The sequence below is a fragment of the Homo sapiens genome, chromosome 20 (genome assembly GCF_000001405.40).
Source record: "Homo sapiens chromosome 20, GRCh38.p14 Primary Assembly".
Taxonomy (NCBI): Eukaryota; Metazoa; Chordata; class Mammalia; order Primates; family Hominidae; genus Homo; species Homo sapiens.
In genome coordinates this window covers 36,516,843-36,539,486 of record NC_000020.11, presented here as the reverse complement: position 1 = coordinate 36,539,486, position 22,644 = coordinate 36,516,843, and the positions used below count along the sequence as shown (strand labels likewise).

At 48.6% G+C, this 22,644-nt stretch overlaps 1 protein-coding gene and 1 long non-coding RNA gene across 16 annotated transcripts in view, besides 1 other annotated feature; one reads left to right on the top strand and one right to left on the bottom strand.

Moving 5' to 3' along the window:
- The window catches only part of DLGAP4-AS1 (DLGAP4 antisense RNA 1), a 65,574-nt gene that overhangs the window by 33,789 nt on the left and 9,141 nt on the right, over positions 1–22,644 (top strand). The gene's annotated exons all lie outside the window — the stretch shown is intronic.
- DLGAP4 (DLG associated protein 4) overlaps positions 10,854–22,644 on the bottom strand; it is a 222,295-nt gene continuing 210,504 nt past the window's right edge. For 14 of the 15 annotated variants that reach the window (NM_014902.6, NM_001365621.2, NM_001388265.1 and 11 more), the window contains 3 exons: positions 15,146–15,237; positions 13,481–13,636; positions 10,854–12,674 (listed from right to left, as the gene is read on the bottom strand). In NM_014902.6, the coding sequence (NP_055717.2) occupies positions 12,456–12,674; positions 13,481–13,636; positions 15,146–15,237 (467 nt within the window). In that variant the 3' untranslated portion in view covers positions 10,854–12,455. Of the gene's footprint in view, positions 12,686–13,480; positions 13,637–15,145; positions 15,238–22,644 lie in introns of all 15 variants that reach the window. The other variant, XM_011528689.3, reaches the window with a different exon arrangement.
- Positions 19,829–19,898: an enhancer, noted in NCBI's record as "active region_17808". NCBI's record gives its function as "activates an Ori minimal core promoter by ATAC-STARR-seq in GM12878 lymphoblastoid cells {active_cell/tissue: GM12878}" and the evidence as "EXISTENCE:reporter gene assay evidence [ECO:0000049][PMID:35858748]".

The window sequence follows — 22,644 nt, the reverse complement described above, 5'->3', positions numbered from 1 at the left end:
TGGCTTATTTCACCCAGCATAATGTCCTCAAGCCCCAGGTTCATCCATGTTTAGTGTATATCAGAATTTCTTTTTGGGGGTGGGGGGTTGAGATAGGGTCTCACTCTGTCGCCGTGGGTGGCATGCAGTGGCACAATTATAGCTCACTGCAGCCTTGACCTCCTGGGCTCAAGCAATCCCCCTGCTTTGACCCCCTCAAGTAGCTAGGGCTGCAAGCATGCACCAGCACACCCGGCTAAGTTTTCTTTTTTTTTTTTGAAACGGAGTCTCGCTCTGTCACCCAGGCTGGAGTCCAGTGGCGCGATCTCGGCTCACTGCAAGCTCTGCCTCCCGGGTTCATGCCATTCTCCTGCCTCAGCCTTCCGAGTAGCTGGGACTACAGGCGCCCGCCACCATGCCCGGCTAATTTTTTTTTTTTGTATGTTTAGTAGAGACGGGGTTTCACCGTGTTAGTCAGGATGGTCTCGATCTCCTGACCTCATTATCTGCCCGCCTCAGCCTCCCAAAGTGCTGGGATTACAGATGTGAGCCACTGCGCCCGGCCCACACCTGGCTAAGTTTTCTACTTTTGTAGAAACAGGGTCTCCCTGTGTTGCCCAGCCTGGTCTCAAACTTCTAGCCTCAAGCAGTCGTCCTGCCTGGACCTCCCAAAGTGCTGGGATTATAGGCCTGAGCCACTGTGCTTGGCCCCGGCTAATTTTTTAAAAAATTCTTTTTGTAGAAGTGGGATTTTGCCATGTTGCCCAGGCTCTCGTCCTTTTTAAGGCTGAATAATATTCCATTGTTTGCATAGTTTGTTTATCTACTCATCATGGATGGACACTTGGGTTGCTTCCACTTTTTGGCTATTCTGAATAATGCTTCAGTGAACATGGGTCTCTTCAAGTTCCTGCTATTGTTTTTTTAACCTGACATTGTGAACATATAAGTCTCTGTTTTCAATTCTTTTGGGTATGTGCCCAGAAATGGAATTGCTGGATCAAATGGTTATTCTATTTTTAACATTCCGAGGAACTGCAATAACTGTTTTCTGTAGTGGCTGTACCATTTTAAATTCCCATCAACAGTGTACAAGGGGCCTGGTGTGGTTGCTCTTGCCTGTAATCCTAGCACTTTGGGAGGCCTAGACAGGTGGATCACTTGATGCCAGGAATTTGAGACAAGCCTGGCCAGCATGGTGAAATCTTGTTCTCTACGAAAAATACAAAAATTAGCCAGGTGTGGTTGTACACGCCTGTAATCCCAACTACTCGGGAGGCTGAGGCAGGAGACTCACTTGAATCCGGGAGGCTGAGGTTACAGTGAGCCGAGATCGCGCCGCTGCACTCCAGCCTGGTGGACAGAGTGAGACTCGGTCTCAAAAAAAAAAAAAAAAAATTCTTGGCCCATTTAAAAGAGCAGGGTTGTTTTTTTTTTGATTCTAGGCGTTTTAAAAATATGTTTTGGATATTAATCCCTTGATATGATTTGTAAATATTTTTCTTATTCTACAGGTTTTCTGTATTTTAAAGAAAAGCTTAAATTGTTATCTTTTATAAACCATAAAATTCACCTATGAAATGTACAATTCATTGGTTTTAGTGTATCTACAAAGCTATGTAATTATCGGCACTACTATGTAATTCCATAACATTTTAGTAAGTAATCCCCCAAAGAAACCCTGTACCTGTCAGCAGTCATTTCCCATTCTCCTCTCATCCCAGCCCCTGGAGACTATGGATCTACTTTCCCTCTCTATCAGTTTGTTTACTGTAGAAATTTGTTTTTGTGTTTTGAGATGGAGTTTCACCCTGTCACCCAGACGGGAGTGCAGTGGGGCTCACTGCAACCTCTGCCTCTTGAATTCAAGTGATTATCCTGCCTCAGCCTCCCTAGTAGCTGGGATTACAGGCACCTGCTACCACCCCAGCTAATTTTTGTATTTTTAGTAGAGATGGGGTTTTACCATGTTGTCTAGGCCGGTCTCGAAATCCTGACCTCAAGTGATTCACCTGCCTCAGCCTCCCAGAGTGCTGGGATTACAGGTGTGAGCCACACGCCTAGCCAGCTTGTTTACTCTAGAAACTTCAAACAAATGCAGTCATACAATGTCTGGCTTCTTTCGCTTAGCATAATATTTTCAGGGATCATCCATATTGCAGAATGTCCCGGGACCTCAGTCTTTTTCATTGCCAAGTAGTATTCTGTTGTATGGCTATATGCTACATTTTGTTTTTGCATTTGTCAGCTGATAGACATTTGGGTTGTTTCTACTTTTTGTCCATTATGAATATGGTGCCGTGAACATTAATCTGCAGGTTTACGTGTGGATATACGTTTTCACTTTCTCAGGTATATAAGAGTGGAACCGCTGGGTCATATGGTAACGCCTCTATGTTTAACCTTTTAAGGAACTTCCAAACAATTTTGCACAATGTTGTCCCATTTTGAATTCCCACCGGCAGTGGATGGTTCCAGTTTCTCTACTTCTTCACTAATACTTGTCTGTCTGTGTTTGTATTAGAGCCAGGGTCTCACTATGTTACCCCAGGCTGGACTTGAACTCCTGGGCTTAGCAGTCCTTCCACCTCAGCCTCCCGAGTAGCTGGGACTACAGCTACCTGGCCCTGCTTGTCTTTTTAATTCTAGTCATGCTATTAGGTGTGAAGTGGCATCTCATTGTGGTTTTGATTTGCATTTATCTAGTGACTGAAGATGTTGAGCATTTTTCACATGCTTATTATTGGACATTTGTGTATCTTCTTCAGAGAATTATCTATTTAGGCTGGCCGCGGTGGTGGCTCACGCCTGTAATCCCAGCACTTTGGGAGGCCAAGGCAGGCAGATCACCCGAGGTCAGGAGTTTGAGACCAGCCTGGCAAAAATGGCGAAACTCCGTCTCTACTAAAAATACAAAAATTAGCTGGGGGTGGTGGTGGGTGCCTGTAGTCTCAGCTACTCGGGAGGCTGAAGCACAAGAATCACTTGAACTCGGAAGGTGGAGTTTGCAGTGAGCTGAGGTCATGCCCCTGCACTCCAGCCTGGGCAACAGAGAGTGAGACTCTGTCTCAAAAAAAAAAAAAGAAAAAAAAAAAAAAGTGTCTATTTAGATCCTTTTACCTATTTAAAAATTTGTCTTTTGGTTTTGAGCTGTAGAAGTTCTTTACATATTCCGGCTATTGCACCCTTATCAGATAAATGAGTTGCAAATATTTTCTCTTATTATGTGAGTTATCCTTTCACTTTCTTGATAAACATGTGTTCTTTGAAACACAAGTTTATTTTTTATTTTTTATTTTTTTTTTGTTTTTTGAGATGGAGTTTTGCTTTGTCGCTCAGGCTAGAAGTGCAGTGGTGCGATCTCGGCTCACTGCAATCTCTGACCCCTGGGTTCAAGTGATTCTCCTGCGTCAGCCTCCCGAGTAGCTGGGATTACAGGCACCCACCACCACACCTGGCTAATTTTTGTATTTTTAGTAGAGACAAGGTTTCACTATCTTGGTCAGGCTGGTCTTGAACTCCTGACCTCATGATCCACTGGCCTCGGCCTCCCAAAGTGCTGGGATTACAGGCATGAGCCACCGCGCCCGGCCGAAGCACAAGTGTTTTTAACTTTTAAGTTTAGTTTATCTGTGTTTTCTTTGGTTGCTTGTGCTTTGGTGTCATACCCAAGAAGTCATTGCCTGATCCAAGGTTATGAATGTTTACACTTGTGTTTTCTTTTCTTTTCTTTTTTTTTTTTTTTTTTTTGAGATGGAGTCTCGCTCTGTCGCCCAGGCTGGAGTGCAGTGGTGTGATCTGGGCTCACTGCAAGCTCCGCCTCCCAGGTTCACGCCATTGTCCTGCCTCAGCCTTCCCAGTAGCTGGGACTACAGGTGCCCACCACCACGTCCGGCTAATTTTTTGTATTTTTAATAGAGACGGGGTTTCACCGTGTTAGCCAGGATGGTCTCGATCTCCTGACCTCATGATCCACCCACCTTGGCCTCCCAAAGTGCTGGGATTACAGGCATGAGCCACCGTGCCCGGCCCACTTCTGTTTTCTTGTAAGAGTTTGCTAGTTTTAGCTTTCATGGTTTTTTTTGTTTGTTTTTTTTTTTTTGTTTGTTTGTTTGTTTTTGAGACGGAGTCTTGCTTTGTCGCCCAGGCTGGAGTGCAGTGACGCGATCTCGGCTCACTGCAAGCTCTGCCTCCTGGGTTCACGCCATTCTCCTGCCTCAGCCTCCTGAGTAGCTGGGACTACAGGTGCCCACCACCACACTCAGCTAATTTTTTGTACTTTTAGTAGAGACGGGGTTTCACCGTGTTAGCCAGGATGGAGTTTTCAGGTCTTTAATCCATACTGAGTTAATTTTGTATATGTTGCAAGGTAAGGGTCCAGCTTCCTTTTTTTTGCATTTGGATATCCAGTTACATTAGCACCATTTGTTGATACTTCTTTCCCCATTGAATACCTTGGCACTGTTGTCTAAAGTCAGTTGTCCATTAATGTATGGGTTTATTTTGGACTCTTAATTCTGTTTCATTGATATATATGTCTACCCTTTTGCCAGTACTACACAATCTTGATTATTTGTTAATTAATTATTTATTTTTTGAGACAGGGTCTTGCTCTGTCACCCAGTCTGGACTACAGTGGTATGATCACAGCTCACTGCAGTCTCAACCTCCTGGGCTCAAGCGATCCTTGTGTTTCAGCCTCCTGAGTAGCTGGAACTATAGGCGTGTGCCACCATACCTGGTTAATTTTTGTATTTTTTGTACAGATGGAATCTCACTGTGTTGCCAAAGCTGGTCTCAAACTCTTGGGCTGAAGTGACCCTCCTGTCCCAGCCTCCCAAAGTGTTGGGATTATAGGCATGAGCCACTGTGCCCAGCCTTGATTACATTAGTTTTGTAGTAAATTTTACATTTCCATATGAATTTTAGGGTCAGTGTCTCAATTTCTGCAGAAAAGGGAGCTGGGATTTTGATAAGGGTTGTGTCAAACCTGTAGATTAATTTGGGGGAGTATTGCCATCTTACCAAAACTAAGTCTTCCAATCCGTGAACAGTGGAAAATAAGTAATATGTGGTGTGCTACTTTGGGATTGTGAATATTCTGTTCCTAATAAAAATTTCAACCAATAGTTTTTTTTTTGAGACAGAGTCTTGCTCTGTCACCCAGTTGGAGTACAGTTCATTGGCGATCCTGGCACAACCCTTCTGCCTCAGCCTCCCATGTAGCTGGGATTACAGGTGCGTGCCACCACGCCCAGCTAATTTTTGTACTTTTAGTGGAGACGGGGTTTCACCATGCTGGCCAGGCTGGTCTTGAACTCTTGACCTCAGGTGATCTACCTGCCTTGGCCTCCCTAAGTGCTGGGATTACACGCATGAGCCACCGCACCCAGCCACCAGTACTTTTAACATGCATGGATGCTTCCATTATTACAATATGATGGTTGCCAAATGGTTCTTTTCTTTTGAGACCTAGTTTCACTCTGTTGCCCAGGCTGGAGTGCAGTGGTGGGATCTCGGCTCGCTGCAACCTCCGCCTCCTGGGTTCAAGTGATTCTCCTGCCTCTGCCTCCCAAGTAGCTGGGATTACAGGCATGAGCCACCACGCCTGGCTAATTTTTGTATTTTTAGTAGAGACGGAGCTTCACCATGTTGGCCAGGCTGGTCTCGAACTGCTAACCTCAAGTGATCCACCCGCCTTGGCCTCCCAAAGTGCTGGGATTATAGGCATGAGCCACTGTGCCCGGCCCAAATTATGATTTTCTAATTCCTGAATTCCCTCTACTGTTAGGAGTTGATGGATGTGTGAGTTGCTTGTTATGCATCCAGGTGGAGATGTCGAGTGGGAAGGGTGGAGTTCAGGGAAAAATACAGGCTGGAGATTTAGATGCGGGAGTTGTCAGTCTACAGAAAGTTAAAGCCATAAAGGCAGCAGAGGGGCCCCAAAGGCCCATGTCCTGTGTTGGCCACGGGGGCTTCACTGGGTCTGGGCTAGGGTGACATTTTGGAGACAAAGTATGGACTCACTGGGTCCAGAGAGTACCATGGGTCTATCGAGGCTGGTACCGGGGGACCCTGTTTTATGGGAAGTGGGGTTCTGTGGCAAGAAATGTCCCTGCTCCATTTAAAACTGCCCCCGAAAGCGTTACTTCTTTTTTTTTTAGACTGAGCCTCGCTCTGTTGCCCAGGCTGGAGTACAGTGGTGTGATCTCGGCTCACTGCAACCTCCGCTTCTCAGGCTCAAGTGATTCTCCTGCTTCAGCCTCCTGAGTAGCTGGGATTACAGGCATGCATCACCACACCTGGCTAATTTTTTATTTTTTTAAGTAGAGATGGGGTTTTTCCATGTTGGCCAGGATGGTCTTGAACTCCTGGCCTCAAGTGATTCACCCACCTCGGTCTCCCAAAGTTCTGGGATTACAGGCATGAGCCACCGTGTCTGGCCTGAAAGCCTTACTTGTTAACCTGGCATTCAAGGCCAGTCTGGCCCCAGCCCCGCCTGGAGCAGCAGCACAGCCTTACACCTCTGCCACTGTGCTCACTGTGTCTTTTACTGCCATAGCTTGGTTCAAATATTGCCCATTCTGAAAGCCCAGCAAATATTGCCTTCTCTGCCAAGGTTCTTCATTTAGGAAATCATTCTTGAGGCTCTACTCTCTGCCAGGCACTGAGACCTGGTGAAAAAACTCTCTTCCTACCCTTGGGAGCCCACCATCTTCTGCGTAGAGACAGATATTCACAAGTCATCACATAGATATTAATAAAAGCATCATCACATCAGTGACAACAGCAAAGGGAAGCGACTCTTGTGCTCCAGGTGTAGAGCAGGGCGTTGGCACCGACCTGGCCTGGCCCAGGTGCTTGGCGAGATTTCCCTGGGGAAAGGCCACCTGCCCTGAGAGTGGAGGCAAGAGCTGATGTCAGCTGCATCGGTGGAGGCCCGGGACACCCTGTGGGAGGCCCTGAGGCGGCCAAGGGCAGCTCTCACTTGGAGGTGTGGCTATAGAGGTGGGTGGCAGCCTCCAAGGCCAAGGTGAGGAGACTGGGTTTAGGGTTCGGTTTTTATTTTTATTTTTATTTTTTGAGACAGAGTCTCGCTCTGTCACCCAGGCTGGAGTGCAGTGGCACGATCTTGGCTCACTGCAAGCTCCGCCTCCCAGGTTCATGCCATTCTCCTGCCTCAGCCTCCCGAGTAGCTGGGACTACAGGTGCCCACTACCATGCCCTGCTAATTTTTTTGTATTTTTAGTAGAGACGGGGTTTCACCGTGTTAGCCAGGATGGTCTCGACCTCCTGACCTTGTGATCCACCCGCCTTGGCCTCCCAAAGTGCTGGGATTACAGGCGTGAGCCAGCCACCGTGCCCGGCCTGGGTTTAGGGGTCTTAAGCAGAGGGTGATGCAGCCCAGTTAGCATTTTGAAAATTCCCCTGGCCGCCATATGGTAGGACCAGGGTCGGCAGCAGAAACCACACCAGCTTTCAGATCAGCCACAGATTCAGATGGGCAGGAGACTGTTTAGAATTGCTGTTGTAAAGCCCATTCCACTGCTGGTGCTAGAAACCTCATCTCAGTGGGTCTGTCCTCCACAGCATTTGCCCACGCAGCCTCCGCTTGGTACTTGGCCCTCAGGCTCCTGGTGGCAGTGGCTTTGTCCTGCTGTCCTGTCTATAAGGTCTGGGGGCCCAGTGCTGTTCCTGGCGGTAGCTGAGCCTTCTCTGCTGACTCCGGAAACATGTAAACCTAGGGAGCTTGGAGTTCTAGAAGGGAAACCTGGGCCATGTAGGGTTCTCAGGGACCCACAGGTGGCTGACAGTCTCCTGTCCCCTCTGCTGCCTCTGTGGTCATATCCTGCAGCCTTTAGGAGGGCACTTCCTGTCTGTCCCTGTCCTGGTTCCCTCAAGGACTAGGCTTTGGAAACACAGAAGCTGAGGACTCATTCCCAGCTTCTCTGGGAAGCTGCTGTCAGCCTTTCTCTGAAGTGACAAATGCATCCTTGATGGAACAAGATACAAGGACATGGGACATCATCTAAGTCATATTTTTGTGAAAACCATTTAATCTGAATCCGGCCATGAGAAAACGTAAACCCAAATAGTGCACCATTCTGTAGAGTGCGCTTGGATACTTTAAAAACACCAACATCTCAGCTGGGCGCGGTGGCTCATGCCTGTAATCCCAGCACTTTGGGAGGCCAAGGTGGGAGGATCACGTGAGGTCAGGAGTTCAAAACCAGCCTGGCCAATATGGTGAAACCCCATCTCTACTAAAAATACAAAAATTAGCCAGGTGTGGTGGCGGGCGCCTATAGTCCCCAGCTACTTGGGAGGCTGAGGCAGGAGAATCTCTTGAAGCCAGGAGGCGGAGGTTGCTGTGAGCCAAGATCGCGCCACTGCACTCCAGCCTGGGTGTTGCAGTGAGACTCCGTCTCAAAACAAACAAAATAAACTAAAACAAACAAAACAAAAAACAAAACGCCATCAACATCTCGAAAAACAAAACCCAAAAAGTAGGGAAATTTTGATTTTTAAAGAGACTAGAAGGACGTGGTGGCCTGGCATGGTGGCTCACACCTGTGATCCCAGCACTTTGGGAGGCCAAGGCGGGAGAATCACTTGAGCCCACGAGTTTGAGACCAGCCTGGGCAACAAAGTGAGACTCCATCTCTACAAAAAATTTTAAAATTAGCTGGGCATGGTGGCATGTACCTGTGGTCCCAGCTACTTGGGAGGCTGAGGCAGGAGGATTGATTGAGCCCAGTTGGTTGAGGCTGCAGTGAGCCGTGATCACACCATTCTTTGCACTTCAGCCTGGGCAGCAGAGTGACACCCTGTCTAAAAAAGAAAAGAAAAAACAAAACAAAACAAAACCAGACAGACATGGTAACTGAAAGCAGTGACTGATCCTTAATGGGACCCTGGATGGATAAAAGGGAGAAGGTATAAGGGACAAGGTTGTGAGGGCACCTGGCGTATGGGCTGTGCTTTAGGCCATATTCATATAAAAGGAGGTGCTCCCTGGAACATTCCTTTCTTAAGTTTGAGGGTGGTGATGGTATTGTGGTTGTGCAGGAACGTCCTCGTGCCTGGGAATTGCATGATGTGTTTTGGGGTGAAGTATCAGTGTATGCCACTGACTCTCAGATGGCTCGCGGGGAAAACGATGTGTATGTATCCGAGAGGGATAATGCTCATATGGGTGAAATATCAGTAATCGGTGACTCTGGCCGCGAGATATGTGTTCATTATTATACTGTCCCTTCAATGGAGGTGGCGTCTTCTCCACTGCTGTGCCAGGAGGGCTGGGCGTGGGGGTCCAGATTCTGTACATCAGACACCCCTACCCCATCTTGTGCTTAATAGAGTGCAGGATCCCTCCTGAGACCCTAATCTAACCCTCAAGTCCCTTCCCCTGCCACAGCAGAAGCAGGAAGGCTAAGGGTCCATCCCCAATCCCCATGGCCCATCCGGGAGAGCCGGCTGCTAGCTGCACCCCTGAACGTCTGCTTCAATGCCTGATGCAACTGGAAACCTCTTCACTTACCCTTCAAGTCACCCCCAGCTGGGTCTCAGGGTAGGGGTAGGTCTGGGAAGGTGCCAGCCCTGGAGTTAATCCAAGCCACCTGTGGTCACCAGATGCTCTGTCACCACTAACAGGTGTGTTGGGATCCGGGGTCAAGGGCTGCTCCAAGCACAGGGGTCTGGCCACAGTTCGGATGGGCTCCCAGGGGGCTCGCTGGGGTGGGCGAGGTAGCCTGAACAAAGCTGCTGGGAAGGCAGGGTCCGTGCATCCCCTGGGCCTGAGATCACGAGCTTCTTGGCTGGCTTGGGCCAAGGGAGGAGACCAGGAGTCTGTGGCTCCAGAGCCTGGCCAGAGAACTTTCTAAAAGGCATGTTCCGGCCGGGTGCGGTGGCTCACGCCTGTAATCCCAGCACTTTGGGAGGCCAATGGGGGCTGATCCTGAGGTCAGGAGTTCAAGACCAGCCTGGCCAACGTGGTGAAACCCCCATCTCTACTAAAAATACAAAAATTAGCCGGGCATAATGGCAGCCTCGGGAGGCTGAGGCAGGAGAATTGCTAGAACCCAGGAGGCGTAGGTTGCAGTGAGCCAAGATCGCGCCACTGCACTCCAGTCTGGGTGACAGAGCAAGACTGTCTCAAAAAAAAAAAAAAAAAAAAAAAAGGAAAAGGTATGTTCCTACCACTGGGGCTTGGCACCTCCTGCTTCTGCCAGGACTGCGTGCCGCTCCCTCCCTGAAAGCTGGCTACCCACTCATCCTTCTGGTCTCTACCAGAACACTCCTGCCCAGGCTGGGTTTGGTGGTCGCGCTGCGGGGTCCTGCAGCCTCATTCTGCTGCGTCTTGTTTTTTACCACCTGTCATTGACTTGACCTTATCTGTCACGTTCAATATCTGTCTCCCTCACCAGAGCGAGCTCTGCCCCAGCACTGGGCCTGTAGAGGAGGTGCTCTGGAGATGCACTCAGGGCTCGCACCTGACAGAGTGGAAGCAGCTGCCAGGCAGGGGGATACCGAGTACCCCACCCTGGAGAATGTGCAGACTGTGGATCTGTGGGGGGTGTAAACTGTCCTCTAGGGTCGTCTTTATCAGCCTATCCTGGCTCCTGTGATAGCATCTATCTTTCAAGGGTTTATTTCAAACAGGAAGCTGGTAAGTGCTGCACACTGATTTTCGGGAGAGGGGACGGTCAGCTCCATCTTCCCGCCCCAGATCACAGAGCTGGCATGTGACAGCTGGCATCCCGGCTGGCACTCCCATCAGGCTGTCTCCACAGAGCTGCCTTTTGGGAGGGGTCTGGTTCAGTTTCCTGGGCCCACTCTGCTCATCCCCCTGCAATAATGCCACAAGCCCTTGGTACACGTTACCTCATTTATTCTCACAACATGCCTGTGAGGTAGGGAGGGGCAGGGACTGTCCCCGTTTTACAGAGGAGGAAGTTGAGGCACACAGAGGTCAAGTGACTTGCCCAAGGTCACAGACGGCGGCCAAGCTGGAAATGGGCCCCGGAGCAGACCCTTGGTTCACCTGGGGACGGGGGGGGGTCCCCCCCTGCAGCAAGCGCCAGCCAAGAGGATGTCTCGGATGCCAGAGAGGCGCATACACAGCATAGAGCAGCCCCTCAGGTACTGAGCTGGCTTCGGGGCTCAGCCCCTGCCCTCCCCTACCCCGCCCTGCAGGCCCGGGCCATTGCAGCTCAGGGCTCGTGACACCCTGGGAGTGGGATGCGGGGGCAGGAGAGAGAGAAGGATAATTGGGGTTAAAAAAAAAATAGAACAGAAAACTCAGAGGCTGGGCAGATGGGCCCTTAGGAGTGCGGGGCGGGGGGAGGGGGGTGGAGACCAAAAAAAAAAAGGGCTGCTTACACACAAGGTATATATTTTTACACACACTTGTACACACACCTAGATATAGTACATGTAAAAATATATGCTATTCACACACCCGCCTCCTGCCAGGTGCCCCGAGAGCCAGCGGCGGCGGCGCTGGGTGGGCATGGGTGAGCAGATGGGCGTTTGTTAACTATACACTCTAAGGTCTATGTGCATATGTACACATACATACAGACACCGCCGCCCGCCCCTCGGGCACCGGACACAGGCGCGGCTGAGGACTGACGGCCCCCTGGAAGCCACTCGGGAGTCCTAGATTTTGCTGAAGGAAGAAGGGGCTGGAGAAAATAAAAGGGCAGGAGTCTGGAGTGTGATAACTGTGGCTTCGTCTCATTTCCACCCGCCAAGACTAAAACTTCCCTCATCTGCTCAGCGGTGAGTGAGTCCTGCCTGACACTGCCCAGGGCTGGCGGGGCACCTCCCAGTGAGGCGCCTCCATCTGCGTGTGTGTGTGTGCGCGTGAGGTTGTGTGTGAGCACTTGGCGGGGGGAGGGAGGGGACGCATGTCCATCTCTCTGTCCTCTGGGCCCTCAACCGCAGAGAGGGCTGAGACCCAGAAAGCCGCTTGCCACAATGGTGACCACTGTGTGAGCTCTGAAGGGAAAAGAGAAAAACATAAGAATGAAAATCAAGGTCAGAGCGGGGATAGCTGGGGAAAGGAGGGACATGGCAGGTGCCCAAGGCTGCCCTTGGACTGTCGTCATCTTGTAAACAAGCTAGTGTGAGTTCTCATCAGATAGAACGAGTAAAAAGACCGCAGTATGGAGGCTGGGCCGGGAGTTGCCGACGTCCATCTATCTAGTCCACCACGGCCAGCAAGAGGAAAAAAAAAGTTTTCTAGTTTCGTGATTTTTGTTGATTTTTTTTGTGAGTAAAATCTTCATAACCTAAAGCTGGGAGGGACCCAAAAAAGCCAAATTGTGAGCCCTTGTATGCGTCAATTTGAAAGTTGGCTCAGGGTCTCTAGACAGAATAACCATAGCAAAGGTTGAGAAAACTCTGTTCCGTTCGCACTTAGTTTTTGTGTTTTTAATGATTTAAAATCGTTTCTTTCCTCCTGCATGGTCTCAGAGCCTGGTCTGGGCCTCCGGGACATAAATCTCGATGCTGTCTGCGCTCTCGGTGGCTGAGTTCTGCCGCACAGAAGCTGCCCGCTTGGCCGCCAGGAGTCTCTTGCGGGCCTCCTGGCGCTGCTTGTCGCTGGCGTCTGAGGCCTTGTCGCGGCTCACTGCCGGCTTGGATTTGGCTGGCTTCTTTGGGACCGGAGGGGGTGGTTTCTTCTCTTCCTTTAGTGAGACAGTGAGGAGAGAACAAAAATAAAATAAAGGTGCCACGTTTTGTGTGGCACTACCCCCACCATATGCCGGCAGCTGGAGTCTCCACCCCAGCCTCCCCGCATCGGGCACAAGCAACACACACTTGGAATCAGGAAGCCACGAGAAGCGATGACTGACAGTGGGAAGAGCTCAAGGCACTGGAGCAGAAAGCAAGCCTAGACTCCGAGAGCGCTCGAGCAGCGGGGACGGGCAGATCCCATTGTCCACCCTCATGTTGAATCACCGGGAGCCCGAGACTCGGGCAGGAACTAGCCCGAGTCACAGTCAGAGACAAATTTAGGGCTTCAGGTCCCATTTTACAGGCTATTCTAGGGGATTAGACAGGGCCACGGTTCAACAGGGGTCACTGGTTCTGGTTTGCAGAAGGAAGCCTCAGGGAAGAGGCTGGCTACCACAAGGTCACAGAGCTGGCTCCAGACCCCAGGACTCCTGGCAGCAGGGCCCCAGGAGAAGGGACCATTTTTGCTGCCTCCTCTGTTATAACGTGATTGAGGCTGTGGGCGTGCCTCTCCCAGGATCCCCTTTTCTGGACATGCAGGGCAGGACACATGCTTCAGGGGCAGCCTCAACTACACGGAGCAAGCGGCATGCCAGACAAGTGCCAAGCATGGACCCCACGCAGTGATGGATGTGAGACCCCAGCTCAAAGACGACACACGGAGAAGGGAGCCAAGCAGCACTGACCGATGTGGGCAGCGTTATTGCCGACCAGGAATTTGTCCCTGGACTTCCCCTCCGCACTGCTCCATGCTCACCTTCCTCTTCTCGGGGGTCTCCACCAGCTGCCAGCTGTTGGCCTTGAGGTGGTAGAGTTCATCGAACTTCATGCTGATATCCTCGATGGACAGCTGTAGCAGGTCCCAGAACCCTGCCAGGTCCTGGGCTGTGGGGCGTGGGTTGGCATCAGGGTTCTGTGGGCCAGATGGGGATCAGTGGGGCCAGCTCAGCAGAGGCTTGTCCTGCTCCCCCCAACCCCCCAACAAGCAGGGTTCCTCTGGGCCCTGCCAGCACCCGCGGGGGCTCTTGAGGCCTAGTGTCTGGGTAAGTATCTGTATGAATGAATCTAAGCCAGTTCTGGTCAGCACCAGCCCTAGTGGTGGGGATCTTTGGGGGATAGTCTAAGGGCTGTGGCAAGGAAGGCACTCCTGTCCCTAATGTATGTGTATGCTAGCAGACAGGTATTCTCGTTTTGCAGGGAAGAAACAGAAGTTCTTGGCCATGGTGTGACAGTGACACCGAGAGAAGCCCGATTCACTCCCAGGTGGGAAAGGTCACAGAATCTGTGTTGTTTCCCTCGTGTCACTCTGTTCCATGACAACGCAACCCCCAAGTCTCTGTAGGTCTTGGAGACAAACACTCACTCCACTGCCTCCCGCTGGGAGTACACACATTCCCACAGGCAGAACAGCCCAGGACTTTGCTTTTGACCCTGGCAGGGCCAGCCCTCCTAACAGGTAAGAGGGAGGGAGAAAGCCAAGCCACCAATCCCAGCAGTGGGATTTCTTTGTTTTTTTTTTTTTTTTTTTTTTTTTTTTTTTTTTTTTTGAGACGGAGTCTCGCTCTGTCACCCAGGCTGGATGCAGTGACGCGATCTCGGCTCACTGCAAGTTCCACCTCCCGGGTTCACACCATTCTCCTGCCTCAGCCTCCCGAGTAGCTGGGACTACAGGCACCCGCCACTACGCCTGGCTAATTTTTTGTCTTTTTAGTACAGAAGGGGTTTCACCGTGTTAGCCAGGAGGGTCTCCATCTCCTGACCTCATGATCTGCCTGCCTCGGCCTCCCAAAGTGCTGGGATTACAGGCGTGAGCCACTGCGCCTGGCCAAAAAATATATATGTATATAATTTTTGAGACAGAGTTTCGCTGTCATTGCCCAGGCTGGAGTGCTGGAGTGCAGTGGCACGATCTCGGCTCACCACAACCTCTGTCTCCCGGGTTCAGGCGATTCTCCTGCCTCAGCCTCCCGAGTAGCTGGGATTACAGGTGTGCACCACCACGCCCAGCTAATTTTGTATTTTTAGTAGAGACAGGGTTTCTCCATGTTGGTCAGGCTGGTCTCGAACTCCGGACCTCAGGTGATCCACCCGCCTCAGCCTCCCAAGTGTTGGAATTACAGGCATGAGCCACTGTGCCCGGCCGATACAGAATATATTTTATATAAATAAACCAGTGCTAATTGACTTTACCATCCATGTGGCTGTTTCAACATGGAAAGATATTAGAGATCTGATAGGGCCACTTTTGCCCCCTTTCTTGTGCTAGACACTGACACACATTGCCACTGTCCTTCCAGCACCATGAGGAAGCCGCGCTGTGTGTGTTACAGAGGAGGGCACAGAGGCTTCGAGGGGCTGGCAGAGTATAGTGGGCAGCCAAAGGCTGGAAGCCCTGCTGTGGAGGAAGGAGAATCACACTCACCAAGTTTTGCTCACAGAGGCCCCGGAACTGCTGGAATTTCTGGGACATCAGTAGCTGGGCACTGCCCACAGCACTGAGGACTTTTCCTAAGACTGAGAAACAGAGGGTGGAAAAAGACTGATTTAGCACAGCACAGGGTTTGGTGGGATGGCATCATGCTTTTAATCTCCTCCCACACTCCCTTAGGGTAGAACTCATTATTTCATGATGGCGGTGGTCTTCATTTTATCTACACATTAATCCATTCTCATTGAGAAAAACACAAACAATATAAAGCCAACCCCATCCCATTTCCTGAGGATATGTTATGGCAACAAATATGAAAACTGAGTGTAAATGTAAAACATTTTCCAGAAAAACATAAATCATGGTCTTAAGAGAGGCTGCGTACAGTGGCTCACGCCTGTAATCCCAGCACTTTTTGGGAGGCTGAGGCAGATCACCTGAGGTCAGGAGTTAAAGACCAGCCTGGGCAGCATGATGAAATCCCGTCTCTACAAATATATGAAAATTAGCCGGACATAATGGCAGATGCCTGTAATCCCAGCTACTCAGGAGGCTGAGGCAGGAGAATCATTTGAACCCAGCGGGTGGAGGTTACAGTGAGCCAAGATGGCGCCACTGCACTCCAGCTTGGGTGACAGAGGGAGACTCAGTCTCAAAATAAAAAATCTGATTAGACTCATAAATATTTTTAAGAAACTGAAGCAGAACTCTTCTCAGAAAAAGGAACTAGGTGTAAGTAGTTTTACAGCTGAGGTATTAAAAACTTTCAAAGAACAGGAAATCCCTTTTTTATATATTCCGTTCCAGAGATTAAATAAACATGGAAAATGATGCAACTGGTTTTAAGAACTCTGAGAGCAGATAGGACATGCCAAGAATGGACCACTTTCACTAACATAAATGTAGAAGTCTTAAAGTATAAGCAAATAGGATCTATCAGAAGAATTGTAAAAAATAAATATCCTAATCGAGAAGTCTCTTTAACCCAGGAATACAAGGTTGATCTTGTATTATGACTTCTAGTTTTAAAGTGCTGGCATCAGCCGGGCATAGTGGCTCATGCCTGTAATCCCAGCACTTAGGGAGGCAGGAGGTCTCCACCAAAAATACAAAAAATTAGCTGGGTGTGCTAGTGCGCATCTGTGGTCCCAGCTACCTGGGAGGCAGAGGCTGTGGTGAGCTTAGACCATGCCACTGCACTCCAGCCTGGGGGACAGAGTGAGACCCCCTGCCTCAAAAAAATCATAAAGTACTGGCACAGCTGAGCACTTTGAGAGGCCTAGGCCACGGGGTATAAAAGTCCATCTCTACAGAAAATACAAAAATAAGCCAGGCATGGTAGCATGTGCCTGTAGCCCCAGCTACTTGGGAGGATCACTTGAACTAGGTAGGTTGAGGCTGCAGTGAGCTGTGATGACAGCATTGCACTCCAGCCTGAGTGACAAAGTGAGACCTTGCCCCCACCCCCACCACACACAAAAGGTGCTGGCATAAAGACAGTGCCACCCATCCCCAACCCCCTTAGAAATCACTGAAAAGCAAACAAAGTAAACAAGATGGGGGAGGCTGAGGCGGGTGGATCACAAGGTCAGGAATTCGAGACCAGTCTGGCCAACCTGGTAAAACCCTGTCTCTACTAAAAATACAAAATTAGCCAGGCGTGGTGGCCCATGCCTGTAATCCCAGCTATTTGGGAGGCTGAGATAGGAGAATCTGAACCTGGGAGGCGGAGGTTGCAGTGAGCCAAGATCACGCCCACTACGCTCCAGCGTGGGTGGCAGAGTAAGACTCCATCTCAAAAACCAAACAAACAAAAGGAGCATACCCAATAATCTCTTATTTGAAATAATCTCTTATTTGAAATTAAAAAAGGAGGCTTGGGCATAGTGGCTCAGACCTATAATCCCAGTACTTTAGGAGGCTTGAGGCAGGAGGATCACTTGAGCCCAGGAGTTCAAGACCAGCCTGGGCAACAAAGTGAAACCCTCTCTCTATGAAAAAATTCAAAAATTAGCTGGGTGTGGTAGTGGATGCCCATAGTCCCAGCTATCCAGGAGGCAAGGCGGGGCGGGAGGATTGTTTGAACCCAGGGTTTCAAGGCTGCAGTGAACTATGATGGCACCACTGCATTCCTCCAACCTGGGTGACAGAGCAAGACCCTGTCTCAAAAACAAAAAAGAAAGAGTGTGGACTGCAGCAAGAGCTTTCCTGAACCTAGCCGGCAACAAGGAGAATGACAGAGGTGGGGAGGTCCTGCACTGTGAGGAGCCCTGTAGTTGCCTGTGGAGAAGAAAATCCTGATAGAACTCTTCCAGGCACCCATCCCACGTACAGATTCCTGCCAGCCTGGGACACAGTCCTGGCCCGTCTCTCACAATGATCTACTTACAAGAGCTCATCAAGAAAGAATTCACCTCATTAAGAAATTAGTAATTAAAAGGGAACTGACACAGGAGTTAAAGATATTACAGGAACAGCAAATGGCACATGAATACTTACCAGAAATTGTTGCCAGGGAATAGATGAAAATTGTAACATTTATCCAAGAATATGTAAAAGAGCTCAAAGCAGAGATAGTAAGACAATGGAAAGAGATAAAACAGGGGCTCTGGAACTAGAGCAGGAGGAAAATCAGGCCATCATAGAAACAAGGCCACCCTGGAGATCGTACAGAGATTCAACCCTGCTGAGGACTTGTCCTGAGTAGCAGAGCCCTACAGGGAGAGGAGGGCTGAAAGGCTTCAGGTACAAAATGCTTCAGCTGCCCCATGAATAGAATAAAACTTTAATTTTAAATGAATAGTTAAGCTGGGGGGAATAAAATGAGCTCCCCAGGGTAGACAGTGGGGACCTGTGTCTGGCTTAGTTTAAAGAAGAGTGGGAATAAAAGGGAGTCTTAATTATTATATAAGACTGCACCTGGGTACTTTATCTTTTTAGAAACAGAAGTAGGGACTAAGTAATAAAAAAGAAAAACTACTAAAAAGAGATTCAGAGGCATGGAAGAGAAAGAACATGCATCTATCAGAGTTCTAAAAGGGGACAGAGGGATGGGAGAAATCAGAGGGATCATGGTTATGAACGTGGAGGCTCACGCCTGTAATCCCAGCACTTTGAAAGGCAAAGGCCAAGGCAGGCAGATCACTCGAGGCCAGGAGTTCGAGAGCAACCTGGGCAACATGGCAAAACTCCGTCTCTACTAAAAATACAAAAAATAGCCAGATGTGGTGGCACATGCCTGTAATCCCAGCACTTTGGGAGGCCAAGGTGAGGTCGGCAGTTCAAGACCAGCCTGGTCAACATGGCAAAACCCCATCTCTACTAAAAATACTAAAATTAGCCGGGCTTGGTGGTGGACACCTGTAATCCCAGCTACTCAGGAGGCTGAGGCAGGAGAATCACTTGAACCCGGGAGGCAGAGGTTGCAGTGAGCCAAGATCACGCTACTGCACTCCGGCCTGGGTAACAGAGGGAGACTCTGTCTCAAACAAACAAAACTCTCAGATGAAAACATAAGACCAAATCTCCATGACCTTGGATTTTGCAATGGTTTCTTAAGACACCAAAAGCATAAGCAATGAAAGAAGGGGAAAAAAAAAAAGCAGATAAAGAAGGGAAAAAAAAGCAGATAAACTAGACGTCATTAAATGGAAAACTTTTTATGCATCGAAGGACACTATGAAGAAAAAAGCTGGGTGTGGTGGCTTATGCCTATAATCCTAGCCCTTTGAGAGGCTGAGGTGGGTGTATCACTTGAGGTCAGGAGTTTGAGACCAGTCTGCCCAACATGGTGAAACCCTGTCTCTACTAAGAATACAAAAATTAGCTAGGCTGGTGACGCATGCCTATTAATCGCAGCTACTCGGGGGTGCTGAGGCAGGAGAATCACTTGAACCTGGGAGGTGGAGGGTGCAGTGAGCTGAGATTGTGCCACTGCACTCCAGCCTGGGCAACAGAGTGAGACTCTGTCTCATAGAAAAAAAGACACTATGAAGAAATGAAGCCAACGCACAGAATGGGAGAAAATCTCTGCAAATCATGTATCTGATAAGGGTTTAATGCCAAGAATATATATATATAAGAATTCCCTACAACTGAACAACAAAAAGATAAACCCAGTTTTAAAATGTACAAGGATAGTTCTCCAAAGATAGATGTTCAGTAAATATGCTCAACATCTCAACAGCATTAGTCATCAGGGAACTGCACATCAAAACCATAATGATACTTCATACCCATTAAGATAGCTATCAAGGCTCCTGCCTGTAATCCCAGAACTTTAGGAGGCCGAGGTGGAGTACCACTTGAGCCTGGGAGTTCAGGACCAGCCTGGGCAACACAGTGAGACCTCTTCTCTACCAAAAGAAAAAAAAAAAAACAAACTGGGCATGGTGGTGCACACCTGTAGTCCCAGCTACACAGGAGGCTGAGGTGGGAGGATTGCTTGAGCCCAGAAGGTCAAGGCTGCAGTGAGCTATGATGGCACTATTGTTAATTTCAGCCTGGGCAGCAGAGTGAAACCCTGTCTCCAGAACAAACAAACAAACAAACAAACCCCAAAAGCTATCAAGAAAAGTGGAAGCAAGTGTTGCAAAGATGTGGAGAGATTGGAACCCTGTGCATTACTGGTAGGAATATAAAATGATGCAGCTGCTGTGGAAAATAGTTGGGTGGTTCCTCAGAAAGCGAGACATAGATCTGCCACATGATCAACCAATTCCACTTCTGGGTATAAACCCAAAAGAATTGAAAACAGACTTAAACAGATACTTGTACGCCAATATTTATAGCAGTTTGACTCACAGTAGCCAAAAGGTAGAAACAACCCAAGTGTCTGTCAATAGATGAATAGACTCTGACTAAAAAGAAAATCTGTGTGTACATGCACGCACGCACACGCACGCACACAGACAGAAAACTCTAAACCTCATATAAAATATACTTCTCACACATGGAACATTTGCTAAAAATGACCACATTCTTGGCCATAAAATATACAATAAATTAAATTACAAAGAACTGACTGGGTATCATACAGATCATGTGTTTTGTTTTTGAGATAGGGTCTCTGTCTTGTCACCCAGGCTGGAGTGCAGTGGTGCCATCACGGCTCACTGCAGCCTTGACCTTCTGTGCGTGCGCAATCCTCCTGCCTTAGCTTCCTGTGTAGCTAGGACTACAGGAGTGCACCACCACGCCCAGCTAATTTTTTTTTTTTTGAGATGGAGTCTCGCACTGTTGCCCGGGCTGGTGTGCAGTGGTACGATCTCGGCTCGCTGCAACCTCTGCCTCCCGGGTTCAAGCGATTCTCCTGCCTCAGTCTCCCAAGTAGCTGGGACTACAGGCGCGCACCACCACACCTGGCTAATTTTTGTATTTTTAGTAGAGATGGGGGTTTCACGATGTTGACCAGGCTAGTCTCGAACTCCTGACCTCGTGATCCGCCTGCCTCAGCCTCCCAAAGTGCTGGGATTACAGGCATGAACCACTGCGCCCGGCCTAATTTTTTATTTATTTATTTATTTTTTAAATAGAGAAGAGGTCCTGCTATGTTTCCCAGGCTGGTCTTAAACTTCTAGGCTGAACTGATCCTCCTGCCTCAGCCTTTCAAAGTGCTAGGATTGTAGGCATGAGCCACCAGATCATGTTTTTTGACATTAATATAAATAGGTTAGAAACCAGTAATGAAAACATAACTAATAAACTCCCATATAAAAACAAAGATTTACACATCTAAATAACCCAGTCGTCAAAGAAATCACAGTGGAAGTTGCAGATCTTGTCAGATACAGCTAAAGTAGTAGTTAAAGAGAAATGCATCGGCTTCAAAGCTTATATAAAAGGACAGGCTGAAAAAAATGAATTAGCTTCCAATTTAAGACATTAGTAAGGGAATAATACAATTAACCCAAAGAGAAGAGAAATTAATAAAAATAAGAGGATTAATAAAATTAACAAACCCTGTCAGACTGATCAAGATCAAAAGAAGACAGATGCAAATAAAGATTAGGAATGAGTAAAGGATAATGTGATATAGCTATACTAGAAAAGATACTCAAAACTAGAGTTATACACAACCATGAAATAAAATCCTGGTTTTTTTTTTTTTGAGACCGAGTCTTGTCTTGTTTTGTTGCCCAGGCTGGAGTAAAGTGGTGGGATCTCAGCTCACTGCAACCTCTGCCTCCCGAGTTCAAGCAATTCTCCTGCCTCAGCATCCTGAGTGTAGCTCGGATTACAGGCACCCGCCATCATGCCCAGCTAATTTTTGTATTTTTGTAGAAATGGGGTTTCACCATGTTGGCCAGGCTGGTCTTGAACTCCTGACCGTGAGCTGTCCACCTTGGCCTCCCAAAGTGCAGGATTACAGGTGTGGGCCACTGCACCTGGCAAAATCCTGTTGTTAAATTCCTTCAGAGACTATGAGAAGAGGAAACGTCCCACACTGATTTTTGAAGCTAGAGAACCTTAAAACTACAACAGGACAAGGATAGAAAGGAAAGATTACAAGCCAATGTCTCATGAACAAAGACAAAATTATTAAATCACATATTAAACCCGGCAGTGTACTAAAATAATATATCATAAATTTAGCTGGGTTTATTCTGAGAATGCAAGACTGATTCAACATTGACAATTGTAATCACTTCTGATTCTGGCTAAGACAAACCAGTGAGTGTCAGACAAGCTGACTTCTCCCAACCACCAACAAATTAAAAAAAAAAAATCAGTAACAACAACTCATTTTCAAAACATTAAGAAACTACTAGGCCGGGCACGGTGGCTCACACCTGTAATCCCAGCACTTTGGGAGGCTGAGGTGGGCGGATCACCTGAGGTCAGGAGTTTGAGGTCAACCTGGCCAACACGTTGAAACCTCATCTCTACTAAAAATACAAAAAATAACCGGGTGTGGTGGCACATGCCTGTAGTCCAAGCTACTCGGGAGGTTGAGGCAGGAGAATCGCTTTGCTCTGTTGTCCAGACTGGAGTGCAGTGGCGCAATCTCAGCTCACTGCAACCTCCACCTCCCAGGTTCATGCAATTCTCATGCCTCAGCCTCCCCAGTAGCTGGGATTACAGGCGCCCGCACCACGCCTGGCTGATTTTTATATTTTAAGTAGAGACGGGATTTCATCATGTTGGCCAGGCTAGTCTCAAACTCCTGGCCTCAAGTGATCTGCCCACCTCGGCCTCCGAAAGTGCTGGGATTACAGGCGTGAGGCACTGCGTCCAGCCTTTTCTTTCTTTTTTTTTAAGACACAGGTTCGGCCAGGCGCAGTGGCTCATGCCTGTAATCCCAGCACTCTGGGAGGCCGAGGCGGGCGGATCACGAGGTCAGGCGTGAGCCACCGCACCCGGCTGTATTTTTTATAGAGATACAAAATATAAAATTAGCCAGGCATGGTGTTTCGTGGGGTTTCATTATGTTGCCCAGGCTAGTCTTGAACTTTTGGGATCAAGTGATCCACCTGCCTCAGCCTCCCAAAGTG